Source organism: Homo sapiens, chromosome 16 (genome assembly GCF_000001405.40).
Source record: "Homo sapiens chromosome 16, GRCh38.p14 Primary Assembly".
NCBI classification, from domain to species: Eukaryota; Metazoa; Chordata; class Mammalia; order Primates; family Hominidae; genus Homo; species Homo sapiens.
This window is the reverse complement of record NC_000016.10, coordinates 8909732-8931370: the sequence shown is the minus strand read 5'-3', so window position 1 is coordinate 8931370 and position 21639 is coordinate 8909732. Positions and strand designations below refer to the sequence as shown.

The 21639-nt window shown below is 44.1% G+C and overlaps 1 protein-coding gene across 6 annotated transcripts in view, besides 1 other annotated feature; it reads left to right on the top strand.

Annotated features, from left to right (window-relative positions):
• USP7 (ubiquitin specific peptidase 7) overlaps positions 1–21639 on the top strand; it is a 71810-nt gene that overhangs the window by 32536 nt on the left and 17635 nt on the right. For 5 of the 6 annotated variants that reach the window (NR_135826.2, NM_003470.3, NM_001321858.2 and 2 more), the window contains exons 2-11: positions 974–1078; positions 7958–8156; positions 10076–10214; positions 10924–11012; positions 12232–12340; positions 14215–14345; positions 14815–14869; positions 15846–15926; positions 16027–16117; positions 20544–20626. Coding sequence is in view for 5 of the 6 variants with exons in the window: in NM_003470.3 (NP_003461.2) it covers positions 974–1078; positions 7958–8156; positions 10076–10214; positions 10924–11012; positions 12232–12340; positions 14215–14345; positions 14815–14869; positions 15846–15926; positions 16027–16117; positions 20544–20626 (1082 nt within the window). In the remaining variant the exon portion in view is untranslated. Of the gene's footprint in view, positions 1–973; positions 1079–1827; positions 2003–7957; positions 8157–10075; positions 10215–10923; positions 11013–12231; positions 12341–14214; positions 14346–14814; positions 14870–15845; positions 15927–16026; positions 16118–20543; positions 20627–21639 lie in introns of all 6 variants that reach the window. The other variant, NM_001286458.2, reaches the window with a different exon arrangement.
• Positions 2509–2568: an enhancer, noted in NCBI's record as "active region_10362". NCBI's record gives its function as "activates an Ori minimal core promoter by ATAC-STARR-seq in GM12878 lymphoblastoid cells {active_cell/tissue: GM12878}" and the evidence as "EXISTENCE:reporter gene assay evidence [ECO:0000049][PMID:35858748]".

Here is a 21639-nt window from a genome sequence, read left to right as displayed (position 1 = left end):
ACTAAAAATACAAAATTAGCTGGGCGTGGTGGCACATGCTTCTAATCCCAGCTACTCAGGAGGCTGAGGCAGGAGAATAGTTTGAACTGGAAAGGCAGAGGTAGCAGTGAGCTGAGATTGCGCCACTGCACTCCAGGCTGGGGGACAGAGCGAGACTCTGTCTCAGAAAAAAAAAAAAAAGATGCATGTGTTCATGATGAAAACGTTTAAAATATTTGTTTTAATGTATACCATTTGCATATGTTCAGTAATCTTCACAACAAAATTGGCTGTAGAATTGTTTTAATTACTAGGAAACCTATAGTAAAATAATGACTTTGCATGATTAGATAAAGGTTCTTTACGCTGATTAGCTATTGTAAAGTAAGAACTACCTAAGGATTTTTTTTTTTTTTTTAATTTGAGACTGAGTCTCACCCTGACGGCCAGGCTGGAGTGCAGTGGCATGATCTTGGCTCACTGCAGCCTCCGCCTCCTGAGTTCAAGTGATTTTCATTCCTCAGCCTGCCAAATAGTTGGGATTGCGGGCATGCGCCACCACACCCAGCTAATTTTTGCATTTCTAGTAGAGACGGGGTTTCACCATGTTGGCCAGCCTGGTCTCGAACTCCTGGCCTCAGGTGATCTGTCCGCCTTGGCCTCTCAAAATGCTAGGATTACAGGCATGAGCCACCATGTCTGGCCTACATAAGAGATTTTATATAAAAAGTTTTGTGCAGAATATCATTGCAAATAAAGCAAATTATAGTGTGGTATAGCATGTTTTCAAATTCCATTTAGTGTTTCGAAACAGCGAAAGTTTGTATGTAGTAAACATTAGTATAAATATTTTTTGGATTAGAATGAATCTTTATTGTGGTACAATTGGAATTTATTAATGATTAGGCAACATCAAAAGTATAAGTTTATATTTTGCTTATTCTATTAAAGCCATGAATGTAAAACCCGTGGAATTTCTTTTTCTTCTTTAAAGCGGGAGATACAGATGACCCACCAAGAATTACTCAGAACCCTGTGATCAATGGGAATGTGGCCCTGAGTGATGGACACAACACCGCGGAGGAGGACATGGAGGATGGTAAGTGCCTGTGGTTCACCGCCTCGCAGTGGGCGGAAACTTGTCAGAAAACAGGTTCAGATCCATGCTTGGTACTTCTTGGGTACATCCTTGGGTACTTCTGAGCGTAGCTAGTTTTCAGGAGGCTGTAACTGAGGAAAATCCTGTTTGGGTTTTGAGTTTCAAGATTGCCTACACCATTGCCAGGTAAGTAGAGTCTCCCTAGCCTAGGCAAGGAGGTGTAATGTAGGTTTAAATTTAATAGGTGGGTATTTACTCCTGCCTGCAGGTCTCCAGCCACTGCTAGTATTGGGAACAACAAGCATGTCTTACTCTCCTTCTTGTTTGTTTGCAGCAAGATACGTGCAGACATTGGAACTTGGCTTTCCATTGCATTCTCATTGCAGGGTGTATATCAGTTGATGATAGCTATGAATCCCTCCCCGCTCCTGTTAGGGATGAAATCAGATTCAAGCTTTGGCCTTCATTCTCCCTCACTGAGTTTTGGTCTATAGCTTCTCTGTGAGAAAGCATACTCATATGTATGTGCATGGACATTTTTTGTGTAGGAAATCAGTTTTTTTCTTCCGAGACCATTCCTTCTTTAAATTTATCAAATTAGTGACCTCAATATTTGCACAGTCACACTTGTGAGTAGGGAGCAGCCAGTAATTGCAGTATGCAGCCCCTGGAGTCTTGAGTGTAATATGAAACCATGTTCTGTCAAAAAGCATGTCCATCAATCCTCATGAGGGTTGTGTCCTTCCCAGGGGAGTAACGGGGCAGTTGAAAGAAACCATCAGTCACGGGCTGCACCACCAGAAGGACTGCTGTTCAGACCTCCTGCCAAAAGTTCAGCCTCCATGAGAAACTGCAGCCGTAGTTGAGAGTTCTCTCACAGTGCGGTTTACCCCTGGCAGCTGGCTGAGGCAATATCTGAGGAAGGTAAAGAGGCGTGGTCTAAACCCGCTGCTTTGTTACCTGTGGAGTGCGCTTTCCACCGTAGACGAGGGCAATGGTGTGGGTGTGGTCTCGCTGGTTGTTGGGCTTTTGGAGGTTTTACTTTAGACATCTGAGATGCCGAAAGCGGTTGAGTGAGTGCATTTGGGAAGGCATGGCCAGCTCTGAGGCGCTAGGTGTGCGTTTGGGATCAATTCTAGCCACTTGTGTAGCAGTGACAGGCCCTGCCCTATCGGAACATTCCGGGTCTAGTTCCCACAGAGCAATCTGTTCCAACATTTCCCTACTGTTTTTTTCTTTTTTTTTTTAGGGGGGAGGTCTTGGGAGGAGACATAGATATAGGGCGGAGCTTCTTAGCTTCTCATGGCAACTTGGATAATTCTTGGTTGTGGGAGGCTGTCCTGTGCATTCCAGGATGCCCATGGCTGCTGCCCTCCACTTGCGGTCATGACATGTCTCTAGACATTGCCAGGTGTCTCCTGGGGAGAATGACTTATGAGGGGACAATATGGGTAAAGTCCCCTTCCTTTTGAGGTACATTTCACTAAATTAGTAGACAGTGGTGCCACGCCATAGGACCCGAAAGTGGAAATGCCCTTCTTGTGACCTCCTTGATGGAAAAAGCGTATAATCCGAGAAGGTTGAGTAATCTTCCGTAGCACCTTTCCTTGGTTTGGAACTGTGGTTGCCGTTGAAAGACCCAGCATGTAATATCTTTCTGATGGCAAAGTGCGTGGGAGGGAGGTGGTCCTGACTGTAGGAGAAGAACTTGTAGCTGAGGGCAGCGTTTTCCAGCTGCAGTACAAATTGCGCAATCCTCTTCTTCAGGGGATAAGTGTGTTGTGAAAAATGCACAGGATTCTAGGAAGTTGGATATGTGCTGGGCTAAACAAGCTTTATTTACTGTCGTATGTCTCAGGGTTGTCATATCAGAAGCAGCATAAATTGCTTATCCAAAATAAGTTTTTGTTAATGATTCCCTAAGACTCTGGACTTCAGAGCTCCCCCTTTTTTTGAGTGTCCTGTGTCCTTGAGTGTTGAGTGTCCATTTCAGACTAGGGCACACAATCTGGGAAGCACCTCATTAGAAGTTTGGTCTGTAGCCAAACTATCAGCGACTTGACTGATTTGCACAGAAGACTTCTTAGTAAGGGACATTTCTTGTGTAAGATGCTAAATAGCTAATGAGACAAAGAGATGGGAGACATGTATAGTTGAGGGAGAGAACTTATTTAAAAATCCTGTTAACATAGAATTTCGGGCAAGTATCAGAATTATCTTTTACTGTATCTACTCATTCTACTTTTAGTTCCTTATTCACTATTTTTCATGAGATGACCAAGGAAGTACCGCCATGTGTGGCTAATTGTTTGTAGTGATGGGATGTCACTATGTTACCCAGGCTGGTCTTGAACTTCTTGGCTCAAGCAGTTCTTCTGCCTTGGCCTCCCAATGTGTTGGGATTATAGGCATGACCCATTGCACTTGGCCCAAGGAAGTTTTATTTTATTTTATTTTGAGATAGGTTCTTGTTGTGTCGCCCAGGCTAGAGTACAGTGGCAAGATCTCAGCTCACTGCAACCTCCACCTCCTGGGTTTTTGCGATTCTTCTGCCTCAGCCTCCCGAGTAGCTGGGATTACAGGCAAATGCCACCACGCCTGGCTAATTTTTGTATTTTTAGTAGAGACGAGGTTTCACCATGTTGGCCAGGCTGGTCTTGAACACCTGACCTCAGGTGATCCACCTGCCTTGGCTTCCCAAAGTACTGGGACTACAAGTGTGAGCCACCAAGGAAGTTTTAGAGCAAATACGGCCTCTGAAGATCTAGATGGATCTAGATTTAGAATGTTGTTCTCCATGAAACTAATTTGTGGGGATTGACTAGGACTTGCAAGAAGTTGTATTAGAATGAAGAGCAGAAGTTTGCTAAAATCACTGCAACAGCACCATTTGGAGAAATTTCATACCAACCTTTCTGATTCAAAAATCTGAAGTATTCTGTTTTTCTTTAACTTTCTTTCTTTTTTTTTTTCTTTTTCTTTTTTTCTTTTTGGCCAGGCTGGAGTGCAGTGGCGCAATCTCGGTTCACCTCACCCTCTGCCTCCCGGGTTCAAGCGATTCTCCTGCCTCAGCCTCCCAGGCAGCTGGGACTACAGGCGCTTGCCACCACGCCTGGCTAATTTTTTGTATTTTTAGTAGAGCCGGGGTTTCACTATGTTGGCCAGGCTGCTGGTCTCGCACTCCTGACCTCATGATTCGCCTCGCCCACCCCGGCCTCCCAGAGTGCTGGGATTACAGGCGTGAGCCACTGCGCCCGGCCTACCTTTCTTTTTGCAACTGAAGCCCAGGCTGGTCTATTGGCCTTTGCCCTGGGAGGATAAAATTGCTGTAACAAAGTGCACAGTGGGAACTTCGTGCTGTAGGTAATTGTCCCTGCCCCTGGTACAAGAGTCTCCAGGGGCCAGATTGGAAGGTAGTGAGAGTTATCAAGGAATCTGGTTGAGGATTTGTGGTGACACCAGTTTGTAGAAGTTTGTTGCTTTGTCATTTACAGTAAAAAGAAGCATGCGGTAATGAAATGGTGGTCTGCTAATGTTAGTGGCATCCAGGCAGATTGGAGTCTTTGTGCATGAAGTGCTAATTTTGCAGTGAATGTGGGTGTCCTTGCTAATACCTAGCATACTTGGAAGTTGCAAAAAAATAATACATAGGATCCAGTGTACTGTTAACTATTTTCTTGGGCAAAGATCTCCATCACTGAGTCTCATGTAATTCCTCGTAGGAGGACAATCTGGCTGGCCGTATCTGTGAAAGCTAATTTCCAAGTCCACTTCTCCTTTTTTTTGGCCCTCCTATCTTGAATTTTTTTGGAGACCAGAGTTTTTTGCTCTTGTTGCCCAGGCTGGAGTGCAATGCCATGATCTCAGCTCAGTGCAACCTCCACCTCCCAGGTTCAAGCGATTCTCCTGCCTCGACCTCCCAAGTAGCTGGGATTACAGGCGTGCACCACCACACCCAGCTAATTTTTTTTATTTTTAGTAGAGACGGGGTTTCACCATGTTGGGCAGGCTGGTCTCAAACTCCTGACCTCAGGTTATCCGCCCGCCTCTGCCTCCCAAAGTGCTGGGATTACAGGCGCGAACCACCGCGCCCGGCCGACCTTTTGTTTTTTAGTGAAATTTTCTTTTTTTTTTTTTTTGAGACGGAGTCTCGCTCTGTCGCCCAGGCTAGAGTGCAGTGGCGCGATCTCAGCTCACTGCAAGCTTCGCCTCCCGGGTTCACGCCATTCTCCTGCCTCAGCCTCCCTAGTAGCTGGGACTACAGGCGCCAGCCTCTGCACCCGGCTAATTTTTTGTAGTTTTGGTAGAGATGGAGTTTGACCGTGTTAGCCAGGATGGTCTCGATCTCCTGACCTCGTGATCCACCCGCCTCTGCCTCCCAAAGTGCTGTGATTACAGGAGTGAGCCACCGCACCTGGCCTAGTAAAAGTTTTCAATTATTCTGCTAGTATGAAGAGTTTTCAGGAAGTGAGGTGAAATTTTAATACACCCGAAGTGTCATCTAAACTTTGTGCTTGCAGATTTGATAAGTCTGTTCTAAGAAATGTGCCTTGAGTGTGAGGCTGAAATCGAGTGTGCAGTGCACTAATTGTGAACTAACCACTGTGTGTCAGGGCAGTGCCACACTCGGGGGCACAGAGACGGATGCGCGGTGGCCTCTGCGGGGCTGGGCAGCAGGTGAACCAAGTGCAAACTTCAATTCTGAGTCTCACCATTGTTTGGGTCTTTTTAATGTTTAAGGAGTACCTTGGAAAATTTAATGTATAGGGTGAAAGTTCCAAAAGCACTTACAATATGTATTGATTTTGTATACATAAAATCAAACCCTGTAAAGAGCTGAATTATATAAAATAGATGGGTTGGAAAAGAGGCATAACCTTGTTTCTTTCAGCTTTTTAGGTCCTGCAGTGATTTTCCATTTGGTTGCTTCTGTGCAGTTCTGTATACATGGGCTTCATAAAGCGGGCAAGCTAGTAGTCTCATTTTGTTGAGGCCTGTGTTTTGTGTGTGTTATGGTAACTTCCAGGAGTGGAATTTTAAAAACCAGAGTCAGGTCACTGTGCATAGTGTCTTGACAAATCTTGGATATTAAAATCCTCTATTGTCACTTTGTAAAACAGCCTCGGCGAACCTCCATTTCCTCACCTAAAATGTGGGAATTGACATCTGTCTCTTGTCTACCTTGCAGAACTTAACTCCTGATCAGCTGTGAATTGCATGATCCTAAAAGCACATGGCAAAACTTATTCCACCACGCCATTCTAGACGTTATTATCTTAAACAAGTTTCTTGCCTTTTAGTAGACTTCTATCCTCAAAAGGATTAGGGGAATACCACTTGAAGAGGCTCAAATAAATAATTATTTTGGACAAGATGCGCCTCTTTCAGCTGCTCTTCCTTCCAAAGTTCCTGTGCTGTAAGCAACTCAGCAGGGTTATGTGAAATAAAATAATTTGGGATGAAGAGTGTCTCAAAGAAGGTAGAAGTGCTTACCGTCACACATGCTTTTGATATTTCAATACTACCCTCCCAGGAGGACTGATGGACATGTTTTCTTAAGACCAAACTCAGTCAGAAACTTCAAGCAAATTCTCTTCCCTGAGAAGTGGCTGATGCTGAGAACTCAGTTGTTAGTGAACTTTGGAGTCTGAAGGGTTGTTGGATGACATGGTGACTGCCTTCAGGGGCCTGAAGATGAAGGATGGGAGGATGTTCTTAGGCACTCTTTACCCAAGCCTACAAGTCTCATTTTGTGCCTTAGGAGCCTGGTGGTCAGGGATGTCAAAATAGCACCTGATTCTAAGCCGGGAACAGCCTTCCAGGCACTGCCTGTAGAGCTTGGCCCTTGGTGTGGCCCTGGGACTCCTGCCAGTCAGTGAGCTGTGTGCAGACTATAATGAGATAGGTACAGAAAGTGAAAGGAAGCGTTTAGAAGCTTGTGTAGCATGTTGACTTTGCTGTGGCAATTTCATGATGCTTTATAAAAGTATTGGTCAATAACAGATTGGTGTGGGTGTGGGAGGACTGTGCCTTCGCAGGAGTCGTTTGGGAAGCAGTAAGATGCTGCAGGGTTTGTCAAAGGTGATTGACCGATGGCCACATGCAAATGAATAGTCACTGTCATCAGTGAAAGATTGAATTTTAAATGGAGACCTTCAGTTGGACCTCTGCTAAGAGGCACTGTGTTGTCAGAAACTTAAATATCTTAAATCAGCCTTTGGTCTTGTTATCATTTAACAATTTATACTACTCATGTGGGAAAAAATACCAGTTCTTAAAAAAAAAATTATTCCCCCTAGGGTGTCCAGGCTAGTATTTTTGCAAAAATCGTGAACCAATGAGGTTAGCATTTATTATCAGGCTACTGTTGTAGCCCTTGTCTTGCCTCTGAGCAGTGCTGAGCTTCCAGGGGAATGGCTGTTTCCCTGGCTCTCAAGTCCTGCCTGTGTGTTCCGTGCTCTGTAAAGTCAGCCCAAGTCCCATGTCGTGGTCTTTACCCCCAGAAGTCCCGTCCTTGAACAGATATGAGCCATGTCGTTCCTTCTCTCCAAGGTCTCTCCACTCACTTGGTGCCTGGGGTCCTTGGGAATTCAGCTTTAGTAAAGTAGACATTGTTCTCATGTGGAACTCAGTCTGACAGGGATGGCAAGTGTATGGTTAGCACTCTGAGTTTTGGACTTCATAAGGAAGAATTAATCCATTCAGAAACTGTATGTTATCTCAGTCTTCGGGTTTTAATAAATTGGAAGCAATTTTTTCAAACTGTTAGGTTTTAGCAGTTAAATCAGGATGTATAGAACAGTTTACTCCATGTCGATTAATGCTAGTGCTTTTGGTCAATGCACAGGCTCTGTGACTGATGATGTGTTTTTTTTGCAGACACCAGTTGGCGCTCCGAGGCAACCTTTCAGTTCACTGTGGAGCGCTTCAGCAGACTGAGTGAGTCGGTCCTTAGCCCTCCGTGTTTTGTGCGAAATCTGCCATGGAAGATTATGGTGATGCCACGCTTTTATCCAGACAGACCACACCAAAAAAGCGTAGGATTCTTTCTCCAGTGCAATGCTGAATCTGATTCCACGTAAGACAGTATTTCATTACTGGAAGCCAAATTTGATCAGCCTAGTGCAATTTTATCTTAAGTTATTTGCTGCCTCTACATAGCCTTTTGATTTTAAATTAGATTAAATACGTGTTTCTCTTTAAAACCCACTGGTATATGTATAATATCCAAGCTAGAAAAGTATATTTTTATCTTGTAAGTGAAAAAACTAAAAATAGTTTGTTAGAATCTACCAGCCCATGGAATCAGGGCCGGCCTGGATTAGCTGACCATTGAGCCACCAGGCTTAATTCTTACTCTGTCAGTAACTGTCTGAGCAGAAAATGGCAGCTGTCAGAGCCAGACATCCTTTCCATTGTGTGATAGCTAATTTGTACGGGTTGTTCAGAAAGTACAAGTAAAACATACTTTGTGAAGGATTTATACAACATGGCCCTCTGACTTGAGGAACATTTAAACATTCATGTATATTATGAAATGTCCAAAAACTGAGAAATCTTGATGGTCCTTCTATTTAGATGAATTAGAAAATTAATTCACCCTTTATCAAAAACCCAGTTGATTCTGGGAGTACGGACCACTTTGTCAACCTGTCTGCAGTTGGAACCAGGGGAAGCTGCTGACTTGGACTGCACCTGTCCTAGTCTCCCTGCCACGCCACAGAGTGGCCCTTTGGAACCCTCAGTAACATGTTCCCCAGAGTGAACTGACTCTGGCTGTTCTGTCAGATCCCCCAGGGAATAAAATTTACAGAGTCTCACTCTGTCGCCAGGCTGGAGTGCAGTGGCCTGATCTTGGCTCACCACAACCTCCACCTCCCGGGTTCAAGCGATTCTCCTGCCTCGGCGTCTCAAGTAGCTGGGACTATAGGCGTGTGCCACCACACCCAGCTAATTTTGTATTTTTCATAGGGACGGGGTTTCACCATGTTGGCCAGGCTGGTCTCGAACTCCTGACCTCAGGTGATCTGCCTGTCTCGGCCTGCCAAAGTGCTGGGATTACAGGCGTGAGCCAGCGCACCTGGCCGTACTTTCATTTTCTTTAATGTTTAAGGTAATTTTATGATGCAGCCAGGGCCTGTGGATGGTTAAAGTTGTCCTCTTCTGTTCACATTATGATGTGATCTGATGAGTATTTGGGCTAGGTTTGTTTTAGTCCGATGGACAACTTTAGCCTGAAGCACTTTGGAAAAGTAGTGAATGGTCCATACCCAGTGTCAGCGTCCCGAGCAAGCAGGAAGTGCTGTGGGAACAGCACTGTCCTACCCTTGTCCTGAAGAGTCAAACCATTTCAGGGCTCAGTTGCAGCTTTGATTGATAAGGCCCCACTTAAATCGCAAACCTTAACTTTCTTTGGCTTAAGTGCTGTATGTATGGTTTTTGAACCTGGATCTAGAGGCCCTTTTGTGGTCCACCCCACACTTCACTGCAGGTACAGTAGTTCTCTTGTGGTTGTAATTTTGTGCCTCATCGTGAATTCGTCGATGCCGGGGCAGGACAGCAAGCTCTAAGGCCACAGAGCTCCCCGGTGCTGGTTTTCCCCCAGCATGTGCTGGAGGGCATCCTAGGAGAGCTCGAGAGGCATGGCACTGAAGGGCTGTAGGGGCAGGAGCAACGCTGAGAGGTGACCCCTATATCGGCAGTAGAAGCAGAGGTCAAAATTGTATAGATACAATGAAAGAAAATTTGTTTCAACTTCTAAGGAATTAAAAAATGAAACCATGAGTGAAATCACTACAGAATACACTGGGGGAGCCCCAAACACCCATTTCTCTATTAAAGGTAAAAATGCCTCCATCCTACCTTTAACCCCAACCCGAAAGGAGAGAGCAATGAAATCATAAATGGGAATTTTGGTGTGCTATGTTTACTGTCTTTAAAAATGTATAACATCTGGTAAATAATGTCAACTAAGGCTCAGATTATTCTTTTAAACAGGTCATGGTCTTGCCATGCACAAGCAGTGCTGAAGATAATAAATTACAGAGATGATGAAAAGTCGTTCAGTCGTCGTATTAGTCATTTGTTCTTCCATAAAGAAAATGATTGGGGATTTTCCAATTTTATGGCCTGGAGTGTAAGTAACAGTGTATTTAGTCTGAACAATTGGTGCATTACTGCTTGTTGTTCCCTTAACTTTTTGATTTTTCAAGTCCTTTATTGATTTTAGAGTCAGATTTTTACTTTCTAAATTGGACAAGTGTCTTTGAAAACATGTTTTCTCCAGTTTCGTATCTTACGTTTTTAGCAGCTTTCTGGATTCACGTCTCACTTTTTAGTCAGACATTCAAAGGGAGTTCCCAGTGGGCTAAATTTCCTTTAAAAGACATAATGCTGTTTGAGGTCCTTTCATGATTCAGGCATAGTACTGAGTGGTTCCATGTGACTCCAGTAATCATTCAGTTCACTTTGGCTGCTTTTTGCAGAGGTGGTAACCAGTGGAACAATCTTAGGAATGTTACTTCTTACTATGCTAAGTCACTTATCATTGCATTCTCCAGCCCCTCCCCTGCTTAGAGGGGCACAGATTTCTCCTGTCCATGCTGTGGCACTGAGCCCCTGGGTACCTCTGGGATACCTCTGAGGTGCCAAGCATTTGCTGTATTTGTTGTGAGACCACTGTTAAAAGAAAATTGAAACAGTCTAAAATTAGCAAAAAAGTTGGGATGTATTTAAAAAAAAAGTATTTTCATCTCTATTAAGTACAGGGCACTAATGTAATTTGTCTCTTGGGAATAAAATGTGTGTTCTTATTCAAGCTGGATATTCTTATTTATGTTTTATAGGAAGTGACCGATCCTGAGAAAGGATTTATAGATGATGACAAAGTTACCTTTGAAGTCTTTGTACAGGCGGATGCTCCCCATGGAGTTGCGTAAGTTTTTCTTTAATCAGGTGCTGTTAAAAATGTCTTTTGTGCTGCAGTGAAAGAAGCTTTAGCGTGCATGTAATAGAGATGCACATATTTAATCAGTAAGCCTCCTCTCTGCGCTTGCCCTGTGGCACACAGAGTCACACCTGCTTGACACTCGTTTAACAGATTGATTGAGCAGTTTCTATATGTTAGACCCTTGGAACATAATTGTATAATTATGGCAACTAGACAGCTGTGGTTTTCTGTTCCTAAAGAATGTACACTCAGCTTTCATAGAGGAGCTAAGACCGGTACATAAATACCCAGAGCAGAGATGCTCCGTTGTTACTTTGATGAGGGCAGGGAGGAAGTCCTCTCCGAGTGTGAGGAAGGGGGGACTGGGGGAAGAGGTGAGCATCACCGACAACTAACATGGTGAGCGAGGAGTAAAGAGGGGTGACAAGGCCGTTAGGTGTATTTGAGTGTTTCCAAGGCTGGGAGCTAACCCCTGGAGTGGCAAGGTGCTGGTGAATGGTACTGCGCAGTAGGTGTCTCCCCCAGCACTGGTCCCGCTTGGTGACGGTCGTGTGTTCAGGTCGTGGCATTGTGTACAGAGGGAGATGGGCGTGGAGGTGGGAGGATTGCTTTGCTTTCTGGCACCGTTCTCTGTGGCTTCCTTTTACTACTTGGGGTGGGGGTGGGAAGGTACGAGACACAGTTAATTCTGAGAATCTTATCTTGCTCCCAAACAACCACCAAAATCACAAAATAAAAAAAGCTCTGGGAGTTTAGAAGTCTGAGGTGAAACTTGGTGAATACACACTTCTGTTTCTTCTTGTGTGTGTGTCTACAGAAAAGATGAGTTTCAGCTTTTTCCACGTTGTGCTGACCTTGCGTGTGATAAGTGTAATTATGTAACCAAACTCTACCATGAGGCATGTTGGGTGTGAGCATGCAGGTCTCCGTTAAGTGTCTGTTGGTGCTGGGCTTGATCAGTGACAGGAGTGCCACTGTCAGCAGGCAGGTGCTTCGAGGGCTGTGCGAATGTGGGGGTTGCATTTGCACCAGTTCACACACTGGAGCAAGCAGAAGGGAATCGGTGACCATTGAAGGATGCTGTGTGATAAGTGTTCCTGGCCTCGGTTTCCTTAAGGCTGACCTTGAGTCAGATTGCTTCACACACACTGCAGGAGCAATGGGGTATCTGCAAGATCCCCTCAACCTTGAACTGATCTTTCAGGTGGGATTCAAAGAAGCACACAGGCTACGTCGGCTTAAAGAATCAGGGAGCGACTTGTTACATGAACAGCCTGCTACAGACGTTATTTTTCACGAATCAGCTACGAAAGGTAAATGGATAGTGTTCCTCTCCTGCAGCCTTCCGCTCACCCTTTCTTCTCAGGTATATCAGAGCAAAGTCCTCTCAACAAACATGGCGTCTCCCTCCCCTGGCCCTGTCTCCTCAGATGGCTGCTAGTTCATGCTGCGTTTTCATTCCCCAGTGCTGGGACACCTACTTTGTAACCTGCCTCAGTGATTCAGAGTTACCACCGCCAACCTTTTTCTTTATTGAGATGGAGTCTTGCTCTGTCGCCCAGGCTGGAGTGCAATGGTGTGACCTTGGCTCACTGCAGCCTCTGTCTCCTGGGTTCAAGTGATTCTCTGGCCTCAGCCTCCTGAGTAGCTGGGATTACAGGCACCCGCCACCACGGCCAGCTAATTTTTATATTTTAGTAGAGGCGGGGTTTCACCATGTTGTCCAGGCTGGTCTCGAACTCCTGACCCCAAGCTATCCACCTGCCTCAGCTTCCCAAGGGGCTCAGATTATAGGCATGATCCACCATGCCCAGCCATGACCTAATTTTGCAGACTTAAAATTGTGTTAGAAATCACCTTGTGAAGGTATTTAGAAAAACATATAATCCATTAACAGCAACATTTGCAAAGTTTTATATAAAAACTGAGTTGAAAAGTCAATGCAACTTACTTTTATTGAAAATTTTAACAAAAAGAATAGACATACATTAAATCTAATATAGATGAGTTAGTTCTATTTTGAGAATTACTTGTGATTATTATGAAGCAGTACAGGAAATCGGCACTCCTGGTTGTGGGGTGGGCAGGGAGCTGGCTGGCTTGTCATCCTTCAAGGCATGTTTGCACAGCCACCCAGACAGGTTGTCGTGATATATCCCAGGGACAGCTCAGCATGGGTAATTCTAGTCACATTTAAGTTTTTAATCAAATCTTTGTTTCACAAGTAATGGTAAGTTAAGAAATGGTGCTCCATGGCTGGGCGCAGTGGCTCATGCCTGTAATTCCAGCACTTTGGGAGGCCGAGGCGGGCGGATCATGAGGTCAGCAGATCGAGACCATCCTGGCTAACATGGTGAAACCCCGTCTCTAGTAAAAATACAAAAAAATTATCTGGGCATGGCGGCGTGCACCTGTAGTCCCAGCTACTGGGGAGGCTGAGGCAGGAGAATGGCGTGGACCTGGGAGGCGGAGATTGCAGTGAGCCAAGATCACGCCACTGCATTCCAGCCTGGGTGACAGAGCAAGACTCCGTCTCAAAAACAAAACAAAACAAAAAAAGAAATGGTGCTCCAATAAGTAGGAAATAAAAGTAGTTCTCTGGGGGCTGATTTTGTTTTTTGTTTACTTTTTCTGTATTATCTTTTTATCAAGAACATATGGGTGAGGCTGGGTGCGGTAGCTCTCGCCTATAATCCCAGCACTTTGGGAGGCCAAGGTGGGCAGATCCCCTGAGGTCAGGAGTTTCAGTCCAGTCTGGCCAAAATGGCAAAACCCTGTCTCTCCTGAAAATTCATAAATTAGCCTGGCGTGGTGGTGCGTGCCTGTAATTCCAGCTACTCGGGAGGCTGAGGCAGGAGAATTGCCTGAACCCAGGAGGCGGAGGTTGTAGTGAGCTGAGGTCGCGCCACTGCACTTCAGCCTGGCCAACAGAGTGAGACTTCGTGTCACGTGGGTGGTGATTTTCAAAATTTATTTTTGCATTCTTATGTTTTCCAGTATCCCTAAAGACGTTCATGATTTTGTAAACTTTCTCACCAATTTGGGGATCGTTAAAAGCCCTAACAACAACCTTAGCCATTGTGTTATTAGAAATGATTTTTTTAAACATGAAGATTAAATTCTTACTGTTTTTTAAATTCCCCTGCATCTTCTCAGAGTAAAAATTCTTATTTCTTAATTGTTTCAGGCTGTGTACATGATGCCAACCGAGGGGGATGATTCGTCTAAAAGCGTCCCTTTAGCATTACAAAGAGTGTTCTATGAATTACAGCATAGTGATAAACCTGTAGGAACAAAAAAGTTAACAAAGTCATTTGGGTATGTATTAGACATCTGCCTTTGCCATTCTGCTTCCTCTTTTTTTTTTTTTTTTTAGGACAAGTGAGTAGAGAATAGAAAAGTTAGTAGAGCATACTGTAGGCACTTAATTTAGGGAGGCTTGAGCATTTAATCGTGTCAGTGCTTTTATCATTGTATTTTGTTTTATCTCTTTGGAAATAGACACTTTGTTGTAGAATTTTGCTTGAGAAAGAATTCACCGCTTAAGGTTTTTACTTTTCAACACAAGAACCTGTACTGCTTTCAGATTTATTACATTTTCTTGGAAACACCACTTCCCCAGCAGTAAATCTATCTTTGAATTATGACTCCCAAAAATAATCTTCACAGAAAAGGAATTTGAGAATAATAGCTGATTATCCAGTTTAGGTTTTCAATCTAAGTTACTTTTAATTTGCTCATTTGAAAGTTGAGCTTTAAATGGAGTTGTTTGTTTTATCTTTGAAAGGTGGGAAACTTTAGATAGCTTCATGCAACATGATGTTCAGGAGCTTTGTCGAGTGGTAAGTTTCAAGCAATACTTGTATATTTCTTACAATGAATATTTTGAAGCATGGTCAGAAGTTATTACCAAGTAAAACCTCAGACCTAATTCAGAAAATGCCCATCTTTGTTTAGGATCAGACTTAGGCTACAAAAAGGCAGCAGATGTCTAGTTATAAAGGCTGGTAAGAATTACTTGAATAGGGATTTGAAGGTGAAGTGAGGAAGCTTGAATTTTAATACTAGCAGGCAGTAGGCTTTTAATTTGTTAAATTGGTATATATACAGGAGTTATTAATCCAGAAACCAAAGACTGGCTTTGTTGGCTGTCCCGTTGGTCCTGAGTCACTGTACAGTGGTGACTTCTGTTGTTACTCCAGTGTCCAGACCCCTCCTGTGCAGCGAGGTTCTCATTGAGCAGACCTCAGCATGCGGTGATTACTCTCCCCGCGCCATCACTAATCACTAGCAAATCCTCATTCTTCCAGTTGTGATAAAAGACGCAGAAGCACACACACACAACATGAAATGGCTGTTCAAGGTGATTGGCTGGGCAAGGTGTGTTTTCTTTTTTGCAGCACTAGCTGGATTGAATCCAGTTCATTAAATATCCATGGACAAACCAGTCAATCCTGTTGACAGGCTCAACCTCATTAATCTCTTGGTGTGGACCATTACGAGTTAAGTTTAGTGAACAATTTTACATGCTTTTCCACAGAGGTAAAAAATATAAAAATGCTTCTAAAGGCACTACAGATTACTAATTTATTCCAAAGGCTGTATAAAAGGTTAACCTCAACTGTTGCATGTAGAGATGTTTGTAAAAATCCAACCAAGAAAGAAGATTTTGTATGTTTTTGAGAATTGCATGCCAGAGGTCATATTTTTATAGTCTACAACTTCTTTGAACATTGATATTTCTAGTCAATTATAAAATTACTGTATATATTACTAAGTACAAAAAAGTTTTTTTAAAGCCAAAACATTCTTTTTCAGTTGCTCGATAATGTGGAAAATAAGATGAAAGGCACCTGTGTAGAGGGCACCATACCCAAATTATTCCGCGGCAAAATGGTGGTATGTGGCTACCAGTTCTAAAAGATGATTTTTAAAGGTTTTAGAATGTGAATTTTTTGACTATTACTAGTTAAACCACTTTTACTTTCCTTATTTGCAGTCCTATATCCAGTGTAAAGAAGTAGACTATCGGTCTGATAGAAGAGAAGATTATTATGATATCCAGCTAAGTATCAAAGGAAAGAAAAATAGTAAGTGTTGTGTGTATCTAATGGCATGATCTTTTGATGATTTCTACTGTGTTTTAATGTTTCATTTACACAAGTGATGTTTTTTTAAATAGTCTAAACACAGAGAATGGCTCAGATCTTAAGCAAACAGCTCACTGGGTGAACACAGGCTTGTTACCTCCACCCAGCTCTGGTGTTGGCCAGCACTCCCACAGCCCTTCCCAGCCACCACCTCCCCTCTCCTCACAGGAAACCACCACGTGGACTTCTAACACCCTGGGTTAACTTTGCATGTTTTAGGTGTCTGTTTAAATAGAACCTTGTAGTAGGATGTATTTGTTTGTTTATTTCGCTGTTGTTTTTTGAGATAGGGTCTTGTTGTGCTGTACAGGCTGGGGTGCAACCATAGCTCAGTGCAGCCTCGAACTCCAGGACTCAGGCGATCCTCCTGCTTCAGCTTCCCCAGTGGCTGGGAACACAGGCGTGTGCCACCACACCCAGCTAATTTTTTTTTTTTGGTTAAGAGATGGGGTCTTACTTTGTTGCTCAGGCTGGTCTTGAACTCCTGGGTTTAAGCAACCTTCCTGCCTTGGGCTCCCAAAGCACTGGAATTAGACATGAGCTGCCATGTCCAGCCTGTGTCTGATTCCTTTTGCCCAGCACATTCATGAGATACATCCACGCTGGGAGTAGTCATAGTTTGATCATTTTTGTTGCTTTATAGTATTCCATTTTGAGAATATACCACAAAAATTTTGAAATCTTTCTTCTTTTGCTTGATATTTGGGTTGGTCTCCATTTGAGGTGGTTAGGCATAAGGCAGATCGACCATTCTTAATGCCTGTTTGCATTTGGAGGAAGAGGATTACTGGCCTGTAGGGTGTGCGTATGTCCAGCTTGATGGATCAAGTTAGCGAGATTCCCAAAGTGGTTTATCAATTGCACAGTCATCAGGAAGGTGGCAGAGTTGCAGTTGCTCCACACCCACACTGGAGCTGTCAGTTGCCAGACTTTGAAAGATTTTGGTGGGAGTATAGTGCTATCTGCATTTTAGTTTGTATTTCCTTGAAGATCAGTGAGGTTGTTCTTACCTTTTCAAATGCTTATTGGCAATTTGGATGTCTTCCTTTATAAAATGCTTGTTTAAATACTTTAACAATTTTAGTATTGGCTTCTTTTCTTTTTCCTTAACTGATTTATAGTCATTCCTTTAAAGAAATATTTAAAATAAGGGGGAGGATGGGTGTGGTCGCTCATGCCTGTAATTTCAGCACTTTGGGAGGCTGAGTCGGGAGGATTGCTTGAACCCAGGAGTTTGAGGCCAGCCTGGGCAACATAGTGAGACTCCATCTCTACAAATTAGCTGGGCGTGGTGGCATGCACCTGTAGTCCCAGCTACTTGAGGCTGAGGTGGGAGGATAGCTTGAGCCCTGGAGTTTAAGTCTGCAGCGAGCCATGATTGTGCCACTGCACTGCAGCCTGGGCAACAGAGCAAGTATCTCTCTCAAGAAAGTAAAATAAAATAAAAAGAGTGAGGAGGGGAAGTGCTTTATGTTGACCCACATATTTACAGCTTGCAATGCTCCTCCGTTTTTAATTTGGATATGGATTCTCGTTAGGAATCATTTAGTGCGGGTCGGCTGAGATGAGTTTTTTCACCTTGCATGCCTAGAAAGATTTTATTTCATCTGCAGTTGTGAAAGACATTTTAACTCGGTGTAGACTTCTAGGTTGGCAGGTTCCTTCCTTCGGTCTGTTAGACGTTCTACCGTCTTCTTGCTCGCCTCATTTCTGAGAAGTGGGCTGTAGTGTCCTTACTCTTTCTGTTCATCTGTTTCTCTGCCCCAAGCCCCCATATTCTTCGCTTCGCTTCACTTCACTTCTCTTCTCTCCTGTCTTCCCTCTTCTCTCCTCTTTTTGAGAGGGAGTCTCGCTCTGTTGCCCAGGCTGGAGTGCAGTGGTGCGATCTCGGCTCACTGCAACCTCCACCTCCTGGGCTCAAGTGATTCTCCTGCCTTAGGCTCACAAGTAGCTGGGATTAGAGGCATGCGCCACCATGCCCAGCTAATTTTTGTATTTTCAGTAGAGACGAGGTTTCACCATGTTGGGCAGGCTGGTCTCGAGTTCCTGACCTCAGGTGATCTGCCCATCTTGGCCTCCCAAGATTTTGGGATTACAGGTGTGAGCCACCGTGCCCAGCCCCCCATGTGCTTTTAAGGTTTTTTCCTTCTCACTGGTTTTCAGTTGTTTGATTCTGGCTGCCTGAGGTTACCCCCAGCCTCCAGATGTCCTAGTCTCCTTTCTCTGGGTTTTGTGCTGCGGTTTCTGTTGCTCTGTCTTGATCTTCACTAATTGCCTGCAGTGTCTAGTTCTCTGTGAATCCCATCCATGGTGTTTCATTTTCAAACTTTTTAAATTTTTTTTTATTTTTAGAAGTTTGACTTGGATTTTTTTTAAATGAAAATCTTTATCTCTTCTTTTTTTTCTATGTATTTATCAATTAATTATAATTATTTGGAGACAAGGTCTTGCTGTGTTAGGCCAGGCTAGTCTCGGAGGTCCTGTGCCCAATCAGTCTGCCCGCCTTGGCCTCCCGAAGTGCTGGGACCATGCCCAGCCCTGTGTCTCTTCTTAGTATGCTTTTGCTTTCTTCTCCTTTGGACTTAAGTATAGTTGATAATGCTCTTGTCTACTAATTCTGTCATCTGTGAGATTTCTGCATCTGTTTCTATTGAAGGATTGTTGTCTTCATCATGGGTGGTGGTTTCAGCTTCTTTGCATGCTTGGTAATGTTTATTTTCTTTTTTCTTTCTTTTTTTTTTTTTGACATGGAGTCTCACTCTGTCGCCCCGGCTGGAGTGCAGTCATGCAGTCTCAGCTCACTACAACCTTTGTCTCCTGGGTTCAAGCAATTCTCCTTTCAGCCTCCTGAGTAGCTGGGATTACAGGTGCCCACCACCACACCCAGCTAATTTTTGCATTTTTAGTAGAGACGGGGTTTCACCATGTTGGCCAGGGTGGTCTGGAACTCCTGACCTCAGGCGATCCACGTACCTCTGCCTCCCAAAGTGCTGGGATTACAGGCGTGAGCCACTGAGCCACTGCACTGGTTCACATGCTTGGTAACTTTTTTATTGAACAGCAGGCATGGTGGTTTTTATCTTGCTGGGTGTTAGATATTCCTAACCTTTGCTCTTATGCACAGATAAGTGACTTGTAAGTCATTTGCTTCCTGTGAGGCTTGTTTTTAAGCCTTGCTAGGTGGGAGAACAGGTTTTACTTGAGGGATAACCTGTCCCCACATCCTTTCAGTTGTTAGCTGAGTCTCCCAGGTGTTCAGCGGTTTTTCCACGGTGGCTGGTGGGAACACAGACTTCCCAGCCTGTCGTGAGCTCTGAAGGTTGTTCCCCCCAATCCTCATCCTCTTGCTGGTTCTTTTCCTTGCCCCAGGTAATTTCCTCGAGTTCACTGATCAGTTCTCACTGACAGCTTCGGAAGAAACTGCACATCCCCAGATCTCGCTTTCTGGGCAGCATTCTGCTTTAGGCTACTCTGCCCAGCAGGTTCCCGCTCCCTTGAGCTCCTCTCATTCTCACTTCTTGGCTCTGTCTGGGTTTGCCTTCTCCGGGCTGCAGCCTGTAAACTTTCAGCAGAGCTGGGCCCATCACGGGGCTCTCATTTGTCCCTTCAGGGATCCCTGTCCTGTACCGCATGTGTCCGGAGCGTGACAGCGCTGTTTTCAGTGTTGTGCAGTTGCGTTTTTCCTTCATGACCGGAGCAGGACGAGCTCTCCATACACTCTGGATATACAATTCCGTGTTGGATTGAGAGCTTGTCACTCAGCATGTGGCTCGCCCTTTCACTCTTAATGTTACCATTCTTAATTTTAGGGAAATAGTGTGTCCTTGTTTGCTTTTTATGTCCTAAAAAATTGTTACGTTTTACTATTTTGCCTTTTCCATTTATCTACAATCCACCTGGAACAGGTGGGGGTGGGGAGATGTCAGGACCAACTTCCACCCCACCCCGTGTTGACCTCTGAGGAAATCGAGGTTTTCCTTGTCATTCTGCCACATCAGCCAGCCATTCACATTTGTGCATCTCTGCTTTTGAGACCAAGGGGTTGTCCACACTGCCCAATTCCAAGCTGTCTTCATAATCATAGCTTTACAGTATGTGCTTTGTTCGAATAACAGTAAAACCTTAACTGTTACCTCCATATTGTCATTTTAATGTCCTTAAGAAAGATACCAATGACCTTTGGCCAATGAGCAAAGGTGCTAACAGCACATTTACCTACAGTCTTGGCTACAGGGGGAGAGTTACTGTTAGTGTTGTTTACCTTCTCTGCTAATCCTAAATATGCTGATTTAAATAACTTACACCTGTGTTGGCTACATTATAAATGAAGCTTTAGCACTTGACTTTTCTCTCTCTCTCTTTAAAGTATTTGAATCATTTGTGGATTATGTGGCAGTAGAACAGCTCGATGGGGACAATAAATACGACGCTGGGGAACATGGCTTACAGGTAAATTGAGTGTTTTGTGCTAGTGTCCTGTTGTAGCGTTCTTCTTTATTTTCAATTCTTTTAATTGCTAAATAAAAATTTGCTTGTGCCTTTTCATGTGTTTCTGGTATTTAGAATATACAAGGATTCTGTTTGTAGGATAATTGAATGGGGAGGGAGAGGGGGATGTTGGGAGATGGAGTGCAGCTGGTTTATCCTGTAGAAGCACATCCAGCAGTCCGGAGGGTCTTGTGGGGTTTTAGGCATCTTGTCCTTTCCCCGTTCCTCACCTTACTGGTGTCACTGCTCCAGTTTTCCCTCAGTTTCTCCTGGTCACAAGTGGGATTTCTTAGTAAGTTGGACTGTGTTTAGGTTGTGTTTCTTTATTTTTAAATGTATTTTTAATGAATTTAGTTTTCTGAGGATCACGACTTTAGAATGAGTAGTGTGTTCTCTAGGGTTGTGTCCCCCAGGTTTCTGGGCATCTGAGAGAGCAGTGAGCATGGTGGGCGACCAGGTGGCCAGCCCCCGCTTGGATGAAGGGAAATGGGCTGTTTCTGGCTGCTGGTCTGGCTGGTCTGTTGGATCTGCAGTGTCCTCATGGATCCAGTGATCCAGGGTCTGTTTTGTAATCTTATAACCTTGACTCATTGACTCAACTAATTTATAATTAAAAATGTCAGTCTGGCCTGTGCTTACAAAGCCTGCCAGTGTATATAGTTCATGGTGCCTGTGTACCCATTTTGTAGTCAGCTGTCAGCTCCAAATGTACTCTTCTGCTAGGTCAGTCCAGTTGGACTGAGGGACTGAGGTATAGATCAGAAAGTTGCTTTTTTTTCTGAGACGGAGACTCGGTCTGTTCCCCAGGCTAGAGTGCAGTGGCGCGATCTCGACTCACTGCAACCTCTGCCTCCTGGGTTCAAGTGATTCTTCTACCTCAGCCTCCCAAGTAGCTGGGACTACAGGCGCCCGCCACTATGCCCAACTAATTTTTGTATTTTTAGTAGAGATGGGGTTTCACCATATTGGCCAGG